The sequence below is a fragment of the Homo sapiens genome, chromosome 11 (assembly GCF_000001405.40).
Source record: "Homo sapiens chromosome 11, GRCh38.p14 Primary Assembly".
In the NCBI taxonomy this organism is placed as follows: domain Eukaryota; kingdom Metazoa; phylum Chordata; class Mammalia; order Primates; family Hominidae; genus Homo; species Homo sapiens.
This window is the reverse complement of record NC_000011.10, coordinates 99,917,187-99,935,898: the sequence shown is the minus strand read 5'-3', so window position 1 is coordinate 99,935,898 and position 18,712 is coordinate 99,917,187. Positions and strand designations below refer to the sequence as shown.

Here is an 18,712-nt window from a genome sequence, read left to right as displayed (position 1 = left end):
CTTGTTCTCTTTGCTCTACACACAACCTCCTCTACAGAAGACTAACTAGTAGTCTGGCAACTTAAAGTTCATTGGTTTGAGCAAAGGGTAATAGTAAAGATTACCAGCAGGCTGAGAAAAGAGATTCAAAACTAGTGCACAAATGACTAGGTGAGGCTAACTTATATTGTTACACTCTTTTTGAAAGACAGTTTGACAATACTTATCAACAAACTTAATACTGATTCTCTCACAAGGAAATTCCACCACTAGAAATTTGGTATCAAAAAATAATTACATATATGTATATAATATATACACAACACACACACATATATATACATACATACACACACACACGGTTCTCTATTAATGTTCATTGCAAAGCAATTTACAATAAGAAATATTTTTGAAAATGCCCTCAAATTTCTAGTATCAGATTAGAGATTAAATAATCTTTCTGGAATACATACAGCCATTAAAAATTGGGGATTAAATAATTTTTAACATGGAATGATGTTTATAATATAATGCTCGGTGAAAAAAACCTAATCTCTAAGGTCCTAAGGCATGTATTATATGTAATAAACTAACTTATCTTCTATTTATTTAGAATGATTTTAGTTACGTACCATTCTTGGGGGAACTAAGAAAACAGTCAATCATATCATTTTCTATAGGGCTCAATTTTCTTTTGGAACCCTGGTTGACAATGGCTAGCTTCAATACACTATTCTAGGTCATATATTCATAGAATCTGAACAATAGCAGGTGTTTGCTAATTTATTAATATTTTTATATCGTATAAAATTTAATTATATTGATATAGATATACATCTATGTGAAGATATATTTCTATGTGAAGATATATGCTGGAGATGTATTTCCATTTTCTAGATATTAGTACTTTTTCACTATAAACATTTGTAATTTGTATTGTTTTAGGACTAATCACCATATATATGTGTGTGTATATATATATATATATATATATATATATATATATATATATATATATATACACACACACACACACACACACACACAGACTGAGTCTCACTCTGTTGCCCAGGCTGGAGTGCAGTGGTGCGATCTCAGCTCACTGCAATCTCTGCCTCCCATGTTCAAGGGATTCTCCTGCCTCAGCCTCCTGACTACAGGTGCATACCACCACACCCAGCTAATTTTTGTATTTTTAGTAGACACAGAGTTTCACCATGCTGGCCAGGCTGGCCTTGAACTCCTGACCTCAGGGGATCCACCCACCATGGCCTTGTGCTGGGATTACAGGCATGAGAAACCATGCCCCGCCCATATTTTGATTTTCAATTTCATTATAGAATCGTTGTACGTATTAAACTATTTTTTCTACTTCTTTGAAAGAAATGGAGGTGGTGGGGGATACGAATAATTTAGAAAATGTTTATATGAGACAAATATAGCAATTATATATATATTGATTGCTTTTATCACGTGCACGTGGACCTCCAATATAAATTGAGATTTTTAAAACAACTGTCAATTGTTATTTAAACTCAAAAATATGTGTATTAATATATGTGGCTGGTTACAATTTCTAATGCTTCTGTCTAGAAACTGTAAAGATATAGCTGAACTCTGGGTTAAGAAAAAGATTCTTCAACTAAGAGAAAGAAAAAGCAAGTAAATATAACCACAGCTGTTTGCACTTTCATTGTAATGGCATCTGTATGACTAATATTTGATTTCTTCAGACAGAAATGGAAAGAATGCTAACTAGGAAAGGAGGAAAATACATGTGCTATAAAGTCCCCAAATTCACACAGAAGAAAAACATATATTTCATTCCAAAATGCTGCAAACAATATATACTATCATCAAAATTATGTATAAATTTTCAAACATAGAATGATAGCAACATAAAGGGTAATAACAAGATTTTCCTATAGCTCCACAGATATAAATGCTGAAAGCAAGTTACTTTCATGGAGAAAATGAAGTAAGCACCTATAATATGAAAACATAAAATCACACAAAGACATATACCTCTTCACTTGAAGATTTATATACTAATCCCATAGCAGCTTTATTCATAATAGTCAAAAATTGAAAACAGCTGAAATGTACATCAACTGATAAATGGATAAACACCTGAAGCATTAGGTTTGGTGCAGACATAACTGTGGTTCTATCATTAGTTTTAATGGCAAAAACGACAATTACGTTTGCACCAACCTAATATATTGCAACAATGAAATATTCAGCAATTATTTAAGAAAAACCCAACTAACTGCCTCAGCAACATGCCTGAATCTCAAAATTATGCCAAGTGAGAGGAGCATACTGTAGAATTTCTTCAAAAACAATTTCTGGACAAAACAAAATATAGGGACAGAAATCACATCAATGAATATCAGGGATGAGAATTGGGGGAAAAATTGATTGGAAAGGGAAGAGCACTGGGGAACTTCTTGTGGTGATGGAAATGTTCTATGCCATGATTATGGTAGTGGTTACATGACTTCTTTTATCTTAATTCACTGAATTATACACTTAAAAGTTGCTGATGTTCATTATATGTTAATATACCTCAATAAAACTAATTAAAAATGATCCATATTTAATAAGTGACATAAAACAAAGAGAAAAGGGTTGACTCAAATATTAATTTGCCAACTGAGAACATTAATTGAAATTCCTAAATGAAGATAACATTTTCTATTTGTTTCTATTTCTCTAGAGTAAGATTTATATTATATGTGATCAAATAACTACATCACTATATTTCTTTATTGAAAAAATATAAAGAAAGGTAACATTATCTTTTGAAATATACAAAATTAACTATTTAAAGTGGGGTACTCAGGCCTCATTATTTGCTTTAGAACAATTAATAAACAGTAGTTATCAAGTACCTGATAACATCCAGGGCTATGTCAGCAAATCTATAAAAGATACAAAGATACTGGGACTGCCTCAGTAGCCTACATCGAGTAGGAAAAATAAGATGTCATAAATGACTGTTGTGCAGTGAAGGATGTGACAAGATTTAGACAAGAGAAGAAAACTTGTTCATAGGCACTTAGGAATGCTAATGAGGAAGCAGGGGGCCAGGAGAGAAGAATAAATCCTTTGTTACTTTGTTAACCATAAACGGATAAAATGAAGAGGGCATCATCATCATCATCATCACTAAGTTATAGAGTATTTACCAAGAAGCAGGCACTGGGTAAAATACTTTACATATATCATCTCATTAAATCTTTCAGCATATACATGTAAAATTTTGAAAATGAGGAATTATGGTAAGAACATGTTATATTTCTTCCCCAAAGTCACATTGCTGATAAGTGACAAAATTGAATCCTTCTGACCCTAGAGCCCAAGAAATATGTATACATATACTATAGTTATTTTAAGGTATGTACTTTAAAAAATGATACAAGTTGACTGGGTGCAGTGGCTCATGCCTGTAATCCCAGCACTTTGGGAGGCTGAGGTGGGTCGATCACCTGAGGTCAGGAGTTCAAGACCACCCTGGCCAACATGGAGAAACCCCGTCTCTACTAAAAATACAAAAATTAGCCAGGCGTGGTGGTGGGTGCCTGCAATCTCAGCTACTCAGAAGGCTGAGGCAGGAGAATTGCTGGAACCCGGGAGGCGAAGGTTGCAGTGAGCCGAGATCGACCCATTGAACTCCAGCCCGGGCTGACAACAGCGAGACTCCGTCTCAAAAAAATAAAATAAAATAAAATACACGTTTCAACAAAAGTGCATAAGGGAGATGGGTAAGCATTTCTGGCACTGGAAATGACATGATCAAAGGCAAGGAAGCTGAAAAAAATGAATACAGTGAGTAAGATAAACAGAAGCTTAGGTGCTTCATAGTCAAATGGCAAACTATACAGGAGACTCAAAAAAGGATCGAGTGCCAGGTTAAGGAACTTAAAGTTAATTTACAGGTGATGGGGAGATATTGGAGGTTTCTATGGTGATAAATTCATATGAAAAATATATCATCATATGACAGATAGGGAGGACTAGCTTAGATACTCTCTGGAATTAGAAGGATATCGTAACTTTCCAGACATTCTGACACATCCACATTTTTCATGCTCAACCCATACATAAGTTACCCCATTTCTTTCTTCCTGCCTTCAGTTTTAGAGCAAGCACTACTAGCAAATATTGCACACTAACTTGTCTGCATTTAACATACTAATTTGACTGGTTGACCACTTTGGCCAAACCAAATGAACGTAACATGGAAACACTAGTTATTCCCACTAATGGGAACCAGTTATCAAAGGAGTGAGTTGCTTGCTTTCTTGATCCATTATTTTTTACATTTTTCTGTGTAGACTATAAAGATGAAACAAAAATAGGCTATTTTAAGGACTTGGGTCAAATCCTTTTACTATGTGGTCAAATCCAATTAAACAATCAAAAATAATTAGGTAAACTAGAGCTGCTTGATGTCAAAATCCCTAACCAATCTAAGTAAAAAAAACCAAGGTTATTGCAGTGTTCTAAGTCTTTTTCCTTATGCTGTGTCTAAATATTCTAAAACAAACTCCATATTGAAGTGTTTGCTTTGTGATAGTTTAGTTTTCCATGTGTAAGTTTTGTCAGATAGTTTAAAAAACTAAAGACTCTGAAACACATTGAGTTTTCCTTTCTAGTGATATCTGGAAAATATATTACAATTAAGTACAGGAAAAGCAATGAAAAGAACAAAACATTTTTCTATTGAAATATTTTAAAGTAAAATATTTTTAAAATGATCTCTGCAGATTTTAAAATAATGTCAAAATGTATCTGTTGATAAGCACTACATTCAGATATTATTAAGTAACTAGTTAAAGCACTTGTTACAAATGCTTCAATGGACAACACAGTTTAGGTTGAAGCAGTCTTTTTCTGATTAATTTGAGAGTATATAATTTATACATTTTTTACTCACAAAGGAAAACAGACATGATATAATAAAAATAAATAATTCCTTTATTTCTCAAGCATTTCCTTCAATATCCTTGTATTGTCTATGTTGCCTGGCTTCTAAATAACTGCTAAAATAGACACTTAAGCACTGCATTATTTTACTTGGTAAAAATACTAAAATGTGTGTGTGTGTGTGTGTGTGTTTGTGTGTATGTGTTTATTTTTATCTACTGTTTATATCCTTGATTTGGGAAGCATTAAATGTTTAATTCAGACAACAATTTAGTTAAGTCAATCAAAATAATTGATGAAATCTCTTGTTTATTTGAATTGGCATAACAAACATGTTAACAAGTGGCCTACGTATACACAAAATAAACATTTTTAGTAAAATTTCAGACCATGTTGTTAGAGTAGGTAGATAGGCAGATATGAACAGGGCAGAATAGGGCCCCAAAGAATATCAGGCAACTGTCAGGTGACTGTCAGGCAATTGTCAGGCGGTCTCCTCAGAAATGAGTGGTCAAGACTGGCACGAGGGGAAGGAACATTTCCTAACACATAGGAAACACCTTGAGCTTTTGGGCAACAAACTCCCAGTAAGATCCTAGGAATTGAACAAACACATCCAGGCATACACAGTAAGGGTCAAAATGGTGGAATTTGATCTTCCTCTTGGGACATGTTCAGGGATGCACAGTAAGAGACAAAATGGCAGATTGTGACCTTTTTCTGAGAATATATTCAGGCATATGCAGTAAGGAGCAAAATGGCAGTTTGATCAGTATATGACCTTCCTCTGGGGGAGCTAGATTGGCAAGGGAAAACTGCTCTAAGAGAGCACGCAGATAACCTCAACCACCAAATGATGCATGTGGCCCCTCCCAGACACTGGCAAGTCACTCTACATACTGCGATTAGCCAACATCCTGCCCAACAGGAAGGACAAGGGGAAAAGACCAGGATAAAAAGCAGGAAATAATAAGTCTATAAGAGCACTGAGCTAAGGATCAGGCGAGGCAGTCAATCTTTTGAGTTTCCAACTTGGGTCCTTCCAAATGGACTTTTCTTTGTTTCAATAAACTCTCATTTCTGCCTTAAATCTACTACCTCTTCTTGGCCAAATTCTTTCTTCCAACAGGACAAGAATCGAGGACCAAGGACCCTGTTCAGACTTGCCACCAGTAACAATAGGTGATATGGTTTGACTGTGTCCCCACCCAAATATCATCTTAAATTGTAGCTCCCATAATCTCCACATGTCTTAGGAGGGAACCAGTGGAGGATAATTTAATCACGGGGGCAGTTACCCTCATGCTGTTCTCATGAAGTCAGTAAGTTCTCACAAGATCTGATGGTTTTATAAGGGGCTTTTCCCTCCTTTTGCCCAGCACTTTTCCTTGCTGCTGTAATGTGAAGAAGGACATGTTTCCTTCCCCTTCCACCATGACTGTAAGTTTCCGGAGGCCTCCCCAGCCCTGCAGAACTGTCAACCAATTAAACGTTTTTCCTTTATCAATTACTCAGTCTCAGGTATTTTGTCACAGCAGCATGAGAATGGACTATTACAGTAAACTGGCACCACGGAGAGTGGGGCACTGCTGAAAGGATACCCAAAAATGTGGAAGCAAATTTGCAACTGGGTAACAGGCAGAGGTTGGAACAGTTCCAAGGGCTGAAAAGAAGACAGAAAAATGTAGGAATGTTTGGAATGTCCTAGAGACTTAGAGGGCTCAGAAGACAGAAAGATGGGGGAAAGTTTGGAACCTCCTAGATACTTGTTGAATGGCTTTGACCAAAATGCTGACAGTGATATGGACAATGAAGTCCAGGCTGAGGTGGTCTCCGATGGAGATGAGGAACTTGTTGGGAACTGGAATAAAGGTGACTCTTGCTATGTTTTAGCAAAGAGACTGGCAGCATTTTGCCCCCACCCTGGGGATCTGTGGAACTTTAAACGTGAGAGAGATGATTTAGGGCACCTGGCAGAAGAAATTTCTAAGCAGCAAAGCATTCAAGATATGACTTGGGTGCTCTTAAAAGCATTTGGTTTTATGCATTCATAAAGATAAGGTTTGGAGTTGGAACTTACATTTAAAAGGGAAACAGAGCATAGAAGTTCAGAAAATTTGCAGCCTGATAATGTGAAACAAAAACCCATTTTCTGAGGAGGAATTCAAGCCAGCTGCAGAAATATGCATAGGTAATGAGGAGCCAAATGTTAATCACCAAGACAATCAGGAAAATGTCTCCAGAGCGTGTGAGAAGTCTTCATAGCAGCCCCTTCCATCACAGGCCCACAGGCCTAGGATGAGAAAATGGTTTTGTGGGCCAGGCCCAGGGCCCTGCTGCTTTGTGCAGACTCAAGACTTGGTGCCCTGCATCCCAGCTGTGGCTAAAAGGGGCCAAGGTAAAGTTCAAGCCATGGCTTCGGAGGGTGCAAGCCCCACACTTTGGCATCTTCCATGTGGTGTTGAGCCTGGAGGTACACAGAGGTCAAGAATTGAGGTTTGGGAACCTCTGGCTAGATTTCAGAATATGGGAGTGCCTGAATGTCCAGGCAGAAGCTTGCTGCAGGGACAGAGCCCTCGTGGAGAACCTCTGCTGAGGCAGTGTGGAAGGCAAATGTGGGATTGGAGCCCCCACACAGAGTCCCCACTTGGGCATTGCCTAGTGTAGCTGTGAGAAGAGGGCCATTGTCCTCCAGACCCCAGAATAGTAGGTCCACTGACAGCTGGCAATGTGAGCCTTGAAAAGCTACAAACAATGCCAGCCCATGAAGGCAGCTGAGAGGGGGCTGTACCCTGCAAATCTGTAAGGGGCGGAGTTGCCCAAGGCCATGGGAGCCCACCTCCTCCATCAGTGTGACCTGGATGTTGGACATGTAGTCAAAGGAAATCATTTTGAACCTTTAAGATTTGACTGTCCCACTGGATTTAGGACTTGCATGGGGCCTCTAACTCCTTCATTTTGGCCAATTTCTCCCATTTGGAATGGGTGTAATTATCCAATGCCTGTACCCCCATAGTATGTAGGAAGTAACTAACTTGCTTTTGATGTTAGAGGCTCATACCAGGATGGAACTTGCCTTGTCTCAGATAAGACTTGACTTGGACTTTTGAGTTAATGCCAGAATTAGTTAAGATTTTTGGGGACTGTTAGAAGGGCATGACTGTGTTTTGAAATGTGAGGACATGAGATTTGAGAGGGGCCAGAGGTGGAATAATATGATTTGGCTGTGTCTCCATACAAATCTCATTTTGAATTGAAGCTCCCATAATCCTCACATGTTGTGGGAGGGACCTGGTGAGAGGTAATTTAATCATGAGAGCAGTTATCCTCATGCTGTTCTCATGACAGTGAGCAAGTTCTCCAGAGATCTGAAGGTTTTGTAAGGGGCTTTTCCGCCTTTTGCTTGGCAATTCTTCTTGCTGCCACCATGTGAAAAAGGATGTATTTGCTTTCCCTTTTGCCATGACTTTAAGTTTCCTGAGGCCCCCAGCCCTGCAGAACTGTGAGTCAATTAAACGTCTTTCCTTTCTAAATTACCCAGTCTCAGGTATTTCTTCATAGCAGCGGGATAATGCACTAATACAATACAATATACTGAATGTGTAAGGACCATATGATATAGTCAAAAGGACATAGGGTTTGAATTCACAGACCTGGATCTCTGTGTTTTTATTTATTAGCCATGGGATTTTAGGCAACTTGCTCTCTGAGCTTCAATATTACCATTTGCAATGTGGTGGTAACAATAACTTACTTATAAAACAGGGATAAAGATAGAATAGGATACATAAAATGTAAAATACTGATTTTCTTTGCTTCCATTTATCCAAAGAGATGGCTAATTCTAGGCAAAACTTAAAAATAGAGCTCTCTGTGTCCAAATAATATAACTCAAGTAACCCTAATTACAAGCTCCTTTTAGGAAAAGAAGTCATAATCACATAATAATGACTAATTGATTACTTTTAAAATTAGTCTCACTCAATTACACTTCCTAGAATCTATGTATTTCCATCTTGCCAATATCTTTTGCATAAGTTATTTATAAAATGTAAGAATACAACATTAACGTATTTCAAAGTAAAACTGTAAATCTTGTAAAAGTTGTGGGTTTCATTAATTTAACAAAGACACATTTGGAAAACAGCTTCAATCAATAAAGCAAAATTATCAAAAAATGAAAGTCTGTGTGATAAACTCTCACAGAATAAAGATCTTATGTAATTTAATATATAGTGATTTGAAATAAAACAACTAAGAAATCTTTAGAAATTTGTGGAAATCCTTAAATATTTTTGGAACAATTACTTTTTGTGTTTGTGGTATAAAAGTTAATTTTGAAGCAAGGAGTATCATGGTATCTTACTATTTTGTAAGATTAAAGATGCCAAAAAAGTCTTGTCCATTTTTCTTGTACTTGTTGTAATTACATCATTTTAAATTATGATTTACATTGTATAATGTAAAATCTCATTTTAAATAAAACTACCATCAAAAATATTTTGTTTTTACCTCTGTGAAATTTTGGTTGCCATTTTATATAGCTTTAAAGGAACAATTTCTGGTATTTATTTATTATTTTAGGATAAAGAGGTCTCCTGAAGATAGCAATGATACTTGATGCCCTTTCACTTAACTGTCAGGATTCATTTTTCCTTTTCTTGATCCCTTCCCCTTCTTAAACTCTGAGATTCCCATTTCCAAGTGCCATTCATCTTCTAGTTGCCTTGTCAGCTTGATGTCAACTAATCTCTGCCAACTGTTAATTAATGTTAGCAGATAATGATTTAAGGCAACCCCTTTCTCAAAAGCATTTGCATTTTAAAGAGGGTTTTTGAAGACAGATTATCAAGACAAAGTTAATTTAATGCTCACTGTCCTCCAACCATTGAGCTAATTATCTTACATAAACTACCTCTTAATTCTGACAACAATGCTGTGAGGTAGCTTTTATTATTCCTTCGCTACAGGCAAGGTAAAGCTTAATTTAACAGACAGACCAATGGTAAATGTCAGAGCCAGGATGAGAATCCCTGGATGTCTGAGACCAAATCCCAGGTGAAATATGATGGTACAATATAGCTATTTAGAAGCAGAGAATATCTGGTATTCCTTCATCATAGTGTTCTTGGGACTACCTCTTATATTCTCTGGATTTGTTTACTTATATCTTATCTGTCTTTACAACGGTTTTGAGAATGGTGAACCTGTCTGCCTGTCTTAAACTAGGTTGAAGAAGAAGTATTTAGAATCCAAAAGAAAAAAAAAACCCACAAAACAAAAATTATCTCTTTTGTTTCTTTCTTTCTTTAATAGGAAATGCCCCAGCTGAAGTGTTACAGCTCATACACAAAAACTGAAGACCTCTTTGCTCTACTCTAACCAATACTTCCAAGGAGTCTCAAGGCCAAGGGGAATGAGGGGTTGCTTAGATTTAGCAGCTAGAAAGGTGTCAGCATCTTTAGTCCTTCAGTGTCCATTGCATTTTGACTATTATTTCCAAACTGGATATACTATATGTTAGAGTGTTTACAATGAAGGAGTGTTAAAAGGACAACCAAATGCATTATACACTATGTTTGCTGAGTGCTCAGGATTAAGCTTCGCTATATAGCTCATTACTTTATAAATTCAGCTATTTTCTATGATGGCTTAAAGCTTATATGCAGAAATAAAATAAGTTTAGTCTGCAAATACTCACTTTATGCACTTACTCCAGTTGCCTTGGCGCTTCCTACTTAACTGATTATTATGATTTTATTTTCCTTCCCTCTGAGATCCAATGTACATACAACACTAGTATTCCCCCTGATGGATATGCATACCACCACAATTCCACCTATAACTGGAGGAGTGATAGTAGAGAAACTGATTGTTTGGAGAGCATATTTAAGTGAGATATACCTGTCTATGGTTTTGCACTTTATGGGAGTCAGGTGTATCAAGAACTGGAGATTTATATCCAGTTTTCTGAGCTACCTATAGATATATAAGACTTCATGTATTCACAACTCAACTAATCTTTTCCTATCCTAAACCAAATTCTCCATTTCTTAGGTACTGTATTTCATAGAGCCAGAAATTTACACACCCTTACTTCTTCAAATTCTGTTTGAATGAACAGATTCATTAATCACCAAAAACAACTGCATTGAAACTGTTCAAAAATAATGTTAAATAGCTATATTAAGATTTTACATATAATTTTGAAAACAGCATATAAAATATTAAATTTTGAAATGAATAGAAGGAAAATTACAATTTAAAAACATATTAATAAAAATAGGTGAAAGTAAAAAGAGGGCAAATAAACCACAGAAAAAGCATGATAACCACTTCAAACTATACTACAAGGCTACAGTAACCAAAACAGTATAGTACTGGTACACATAGACCAATGGAACAGAATAGAGGCCCCTGAATTAAAGCTGCATACCCACAACCAATTGATCTTCAAAAAAAATGACAAAAATAAACAATAGGGAAAGGATACCCTATTCACTAAATGGTTCTGGGAAAACTGGCTAACCATATGCAGAATTAAGTTGGATCCCTATCTCTGATCATACACAAAAATTAACTCAAGATGGATTACATACTTAAATATAAGACCTCAAACTATAAAAATCCTAGAAGAAAACCTAAGAAACACTCTCTAGACATTGGCCTAGGCAAAAAAAATATGACTAAGTTCTCAAAAGCAAATGCAACAAAACCAAAAAGTAAGCAAAGGATATGAACAGACACTTCTCAAAAGAAAACATACAAGCAGCCAGCAACCATGTAAAAATGTTCAGCATCACTAATTATCAGAGAGATGCAAATGAAAACCGCAATGAGATACCATCTTATACCAGCCAGAATGGCTATTAATAAAAAGTAAAACAAAAATAATAGATGCCGGGTGTGGCGGCTCACGTCTGTAATCCCAGCACTTTGGGACGCAGAAGCCGGCGGACCATGAGGTCAGGAGATTGAGGCCATCGTGGCCAACATGGTGAAACCCTGTCTCTACTAAAACACAAAAAATTAGCTGGGTGTGGTGGTGTGCGCCTGTAGTACCTACCAGCTACTTGGAAGGCTGAGGCAGGGGAATCGCTTGAAGCCAGGAGGTGGAGGTTGCAGTGAGCTGAGATCATGCCACTGCTCTCCAGCCTGGCAACAGAGCAAGACTCTGTCAGATAGATAGATAGATAGATAGATAGATAGATAGATAGATAGATAGATAGACAGACAGATAGATTAGATAGACAGATATTGGTGAGGTTACAGTGAAAAGGGAATACTTCTACATTTTTCATGGGAATGCAAATTAGCTCAGTCTCTGTGGAAAGCAGTTTGGACATTTCTCAAAGAACTAAAACTAGATTACCATTCAACCTAGCAATCCCATTACTGGGTATATACCCCAAAGTAAATAAACCACTTCAACGTAAGCTTTTGAATATTTCTGTACATAATAAAGTCAAATATGTAAGTAAAATAGTAATAAATGACTTATTTATGTAGAAAGTATCTATAAATGATAGCTTCTAAATAGTAAAATAACTTTATATAGGTTTATAGGTTTTATGAGGCTATTTCTACATTTTCACAAAGCCTTCCTTTACAATATAACCCTCAATTTCAAAATTACTAAACTGAAAAACACGTTTTTTGGCAATCAAAACTCATTTGGGCTAGGTGTGCTTAACATTTTAAATATATATATTTATTGTCTTATAGATGAATAACCACCTCAGTATCCAAACAAGGTATTTTCATGTACATATGTTGCTGACAGAGATTAATATTGATCTCTTGGGAAGAAAACTGAGAAATTTAGCTATCAAGTCAATTCAAGCTTTTGCTTTTATTTGAAGAAAAATGGGCATTGCACATCTATTTGAGGTAATAAGAAAATGGATCTGTGGGCTGTTTCTGAATAATTTTTAATATTCTCTGATGTGTAAACTGTTTTATCATTTCATACAGCTTCCACTGAATCATAGTAGCTGCTACAATTTGAAATAGCAATACATGAATGTGATATTAAGTGACCCAAATATCTGTCATGAATATAGGATACAATGAGCTAATACCAGAAGGCTGACAGAAACTGTCTAAAACCTTGCAAAACTCAACTGTTAGAATCTGCATTTCACTCAGTTATTTAACATGCGTTTAATGAACACCTAGTAAGGATCAGACACTGTGCTACGTATTGGGAATATGAAGTGGAAGGTGGTAAGCTTCATATACTGAAAGAACATATAATCTACTTGGAAAGATAAAAATAATAAAATTTGACTCCTGACACTTTACATTGTATTGTTCCAATAGATAAAATAACAAACTAATTATGATTTGAAAAACGGAAGTAAAACAAGATTGGGAAACAAAATGCAATCAAGCATCAGTTGAACAAGTATGCTATGATAATCTACATGACTATTTGGATGAAACAGAAACTTGGGTCTAAGATTTCTAGCACGTATCAGGTTATTTACTAATTTCATAATATCAATCTCATTCCACCCAAACAAAGGCAGTTGTTGAAGTCATTGCTAATAAATGTCAGATCAGAAACTTCACCCTGGATTATTCTTTTCTCACTTCCTCTGTAATTTGGTTTGGTGTGTCCCCACTCAAATCTCATCTTGACTTGTAGCTTTCATAATCCCTACGTGTTGTGGGATGGATCCAGTGAGAGGTAACTGAATCATGGGGGTGAATTTTTCCCATTGTGTTCTCATGATGGTGAATAAGTCTCACAAGATCTGGTGGCTTTAGAAAGGGCAGTTCCCTTGCACATGCTCTCTTGCCTGCCACCACGTAAGACGCACCTTTGCCCCTCCTTCACTTTCTGCCATAATTGTGAGGCCCTCCAGCCAGGTGAAACTGTGAGTCCATTAAACCTCTTTTTCTTTATAAATTACCCGGTATCAGGTATTTCTTCACAGCAATACGAAAATGGACTAATATATTCTGTTTCTTCAGCAAGCTTTTTTGACTATATTTTCCCAAGAGAGTTTCAAAGTTCTTCTTTTAAGCAAATAAGCAAGACATTAAAATTAATGCACCATTTCACAATATAATTATGAGAAAAAGGTAAATTTTAAGAAAGGTTTTCTTGTTACATAGCTGATCTGTTTTTTTCCTATTCTTATTTATGACTTTTCCATCAAAGTTTCTGATATTTATTAAAACCTGGGCTCATTTCATATATTTCTGAATATTATACATAGATTCATTCAATAAATATTTTTGAGCTCATACTCTGTCCTAGGCAATGGGGTAATAACAGTGAACAAAACCTGCAGAATTTATGTCTTAGTAGAATTTGCATTGTAACCGAAGGAGACAAACTATGAACAACGAAGTAAGTAAATGCGTGCAGTATATGGAATGCTAGGAGCATTATGGAGAAAAATTAAGGCAGTATATGTAATGCTGTGAGTACTACGGAGAAAAATAAAGCAAAGATGGAGAAACGAATTGTGGAGTAGAAATCAAAAGAGGAAGATTGTAAAAGGTTTTACTAAGGTGATATTTAAAGAAAGATATGGATGTGAGGGAGTGAGCCATTCATATACCTGGGATATACATGATCCAGGCCTAGGGAATAGCGACTGCAAAGGCCTTAAGGTAGGAGCTTGTCTGGTTGTTTGAGACATCAAGGAAATGACAATAACTACAAGAAAGAGAGTAGGAGGGAAAGCAGTAGCTGAGTTCAGACAGATCAATTGGAGGCAAATGGCGAGGGTTCTCCAAGCGATGGTAGGGACTTTGGCTTTGATATTAAGCTGAATGAGATGGTGCATGAGTGTGCTCAAGTTGCCATAACAACGTGCCACAGACTGGATGACTTAAACAACAGAAATTTATTTTCCCACAGTTATGGAGGCTGGAAGTCTGGGATTAGGTGACAGCATGGTTGGTTTCTGATGAGGGCTTTCTTTCTGGTTTGCAGATGGACACCTTCTTTGTTTTCTCACATTCAGTAGAGAAAGAGAGCTCTCTGGTGTCTCTTCTAATAAAGTCATTAATCTTATCATAAAGGCCCAACCCTCAAGGCCTCATATAAAACTAAAAAAAAGCCCCATCTCCAAATACCACCTTCTATGGTCTGAATGTTTATATCCCCTCAAAAGTAGTATGTTGAAATCCTAACTGCCAATGTGCTGGTATTAGTTGGCAAGTGTTTTGGTAAGTGATCAAGTCATGAGAGTGAAGCTCTCATGAATGAGATTAGTGTACTTATAAGTAAGGCCCAAGAGAGCTGTCTGGCCCCTTCCACCATGTGAGTACACAGCAAGAAGTTGTCTATGGACCAGAAAGTGGGCTGACACCAGTAAAATTACTGATGGTTTGTATGTAGGGTGTAGAGAAAGTGAGAAGTGAAGAATGGCTCTGAGGCCTGATGTACAGAATGAAATTTCTATTAATAGAGGTGGAAAAGACTGTAGCTAGAGAAGGTTTGGGGAAGAAATAACCAGGAGTTCAGATTTAGACATGGTTAAGATTGAAGTGCCTATTAGCCAAATACTGATAGGCAGTTGGATATACATACAAGCCAGAGTCTGGGTTAGAGATGTATGTTAGGGAGATTTTAGATATTTAGATATTTAAAGCTTTATTATCAGGTGAAAACTAACAAAGTGTGAGTTTATTAAGGAGATAAGAAGTTATAGTACTGACACTTGGGGGACTATAAAATTAAGAGTTTGAGGAGATGAGACAAATCAGCAAAGGAGATTAAGAAGAAAGAGTGGAGGAATATCAAGAGTGAGGAATCTTTTAAGCTAAGTGAAAATAGTGTTTTATGGAGAAAGAAATAACCCACATGAGAACTGAAAATAATCCAAATGGATAAACAAAATGGAATGTGTCCTTAAAATGAAATACTACTCAGCAATATAAAGCAACAAACTATTGATACATGCCATGATACAGATGAATCTCAGATTCTGCCCAGTAAAAGAAACCAAACACCCACAGACGTGCACATACATAGATTGCAGATTGTATGATTGCATTAAAATGAAATTTCTGGCTGGACCCAGTGGCTCATGCCTATAATCCCAGCACTTTGGGATTATAGGTGAGCGGATCACTTAAGCCTAGGAGTTCAAGAACAGCCTGAGTAACATGGCAAAAACATGTCTTAAATAAAATAAAATAAAATAAAATAAAATAAAATAAATATTCTAGAAAAGTCAAAACTATAGAGACAGAAAGCATAGCAAAAATTGCCTAGGGACATGAGTAGGAGAGGGATTGAATGACTTTTTGAAATGATGGAAGTATCTTTCAAGTTGTGGTGATGAAGGCACAATTATATAAATGTACCAAAACTCATTGAACTGTACACTTAAAATGCGTGAATTTTATGGGATAAAAATTGCATGTCAATAAATCTGTTAGAAAGAGAGTAGAGACAAAAATAGGGGGAAGAGAGAGAAACACACAGACTGACTGAGAGGAATAGAATTGGATAGAGTATATAAAGACAAAGTTTTTGAAGTTTTACTGTAAAGGGAAACCAAAAATCATGTAGTAGCTGAATGAAGAGGGCATTGGCCGATGGAGTTTTCCTTTGTTTTATTTTTATATGGAGGAAAGAATAGCAGGTTTCCATGTTGATGGACTGCTCCAGAAGAGGAATCAAACTCTGATAAAAATGCAGAAGAAGGGGTACTGCTGAAACAATTTCTTAAAGTAGGCAAAAAAAGATGAACTACAGCGCCACACAAGTTGAGAGATTAGTCTTAGAACTGCAACAAATGCATATGCTATACTATACCGTTGGAAGTAAAGCTTGGAGTCGCAAGAAAAAGAGCACGTAAAGACAGGATTTCTCAGCAAGGCAAAATTTGCTTCTGCAGAAGAATGCTGCTCCCAAGTCTGGTCATGAGAGCACACCAAACAAAGGCAGGAAGGGGTTTTTATCCTTAATGCAGCTTATCCCTGCTACTGTGTCCTGCCTCCACTGGCTGGAGTTGGACTGCACAATCTAAGCTGAACCTGGCTGGCTAACTTGAAAGGTGCAGGAATGTGGTTACACTGGCAGGAAGGGCGGTTTCAGCAGGAAAAGCTGTTGCGATGGGAGGGGTAATTTACAGAGTGGGTAGCAAATGTGGGCTCTGTAAATAAGGACTGTTGGGAAAGTTGTTTACTGAAATTAAAATAGGGAGGAACAAAGGATAAGGAAGTTAGTGTGGCCTTGGAAGTAGGGGACGAAGAACAGGGATGCTGAATAAGCCAAACCTTTGAAAAGGAAATTCTTTTGTATCTGACTTATACTCTACTATAGTACACTATGCTATACTGTACCATATACTGTACTATATACTATAATATATACTAAAAACTGGGAAGTCAGAGTGTATGGCTACAAATGCTAATTGGTGTGTGACTTGGTGATGAGAGCTTGTGGAGGTTATTTTCTAATTGCTTTCTCTTTCACAACGTAATAGGATGCATGTTTATCACCTGAGAGTGAGACTGGGGAAGACACATAAAACATTTGACAAAAGTATAGTAAAAATAATAGGTTTTTAAAAAAATTCTAGTTAACATTAAGATGTAAAGTTCATCATTTTTATTTTAAATTGACAGCAGTCTGTATAACTGGTTTTTTGTTCATTTGTTTTGTATGTGTGCTTTGGTTTTTGGGATTGTTTAACAGTAATATTAAACTGAATAGATTCATATGTGAAGTAGGCTAAGAGTTGGATCTATATTGTGATTAGGGTTTTGCAAACTGGAATGTCAGTGTGCGAAAGCAAAAGAGAGATGACAAAATTGAAGCTGTATAAAAGAATATGATAATAACTGAAGGAGAAAAGTAAGAATCAAAGGAGGTGGAGTAGAATGAAAATAGGGTAGGATCAATGATTTGTAGATTTCCATGACATGAAAGGACTCCTGCAATCAGGGTACTAAAGGGGTGAGTAGAAGACAGTGGATGCTGTTCAGAAAATAAGAAGCTTGTAAATATGGCAATTGAGAGACTGCAGCTGTGGTAATAACATATCAAGTTGGCCTTGGTCAAGCAGATGAGTTCGGATGTAAAACACGATTACTGAACAGTCATTTAATTTACATATATTGATCTCAATCAGAGATCACATTATTACTTAATCAGTTATTAGTGCCTATTCTTATCTTATGTTTATCTTACCATATATGCAATTCATTGTACTATATTCTCCCACCAGAAATCTGTATACAGTTTTCTCTGCCAATTGGATAATTTATGTGTAATCCCGAAGTTTTGACTTCTATATTATCCTCTTCCATTTCACTTTGTTTAAAAATACACGTTCCCCAGCCTTAAAATAAAGATCATATCTCAGAAAATCTTGCTTATTTTCCCACAGGGGTCACTTTATGTTGTTAACTCCTGTCAGTCTAGTGATGGATCAGTCATCCTCTATAAAGCCTGTTATATTCTCTTTCTCCTTCCCCTTCTTTTCCCCTTTTCTGCAATCTCTAACAATTATTCAACTAATAACCCCCTTGGATGAAATCTGTTTAATAACCAATATGAGACATGACTTATATTAATGCTATACACTTTCCCTAAATGTAATAAAAATTTTTGTCTTATCCATTAAAAAAATTAAAACAGATGTTGTCTTGAAAGAACCTAAATCTGGATTTAGATGCAGGCAAGAATAGATATGTTTAATGTAAACTTCCCAAACCTTTCACAGAAAGATTAGAATAACTGGACTGGTGTACAGGAATTGGAGTGGTACAACTCAACAATTGGAGGGGTACAACTCAAACAATAATTACCCTAATTGTAATTATT

At 36.3% G+C, this 18,712-nt stretch overlaps 1 protein-coding gene across 12 annotated transcripts in view, besides 1 other annotated feature; it reads right to left on the bottom strand.

Annotated features, from left to right (window-relative positions):
- CNTN5 (contactin 5) overlaps positions 1–18,712 on the bottom strand; it is a 1,337,937-nt gene that overhangs the window by 422,987 nt on the left and 896,238 nt on the right. The window lies entirely within an intron of this gene.
- Positions 9,370–10,138: an enhancer, noted in NCBI's record as "OCT4-NANOG hESC enhancer chr11:99796493-99797261 (GRCh37/hg19 assembly coordinates)". NCBI's record gives its function as "activates a minimal SCP1, AML or CMV promoter by ChIP-STARR-seq in naive H9 embryonic stem cells {active_cell/tissue: H9 hESC(naive)}" and the evidence as "EXISTENCE:reporter gene assay evidence [ECO:0000049][PMID:30033119]".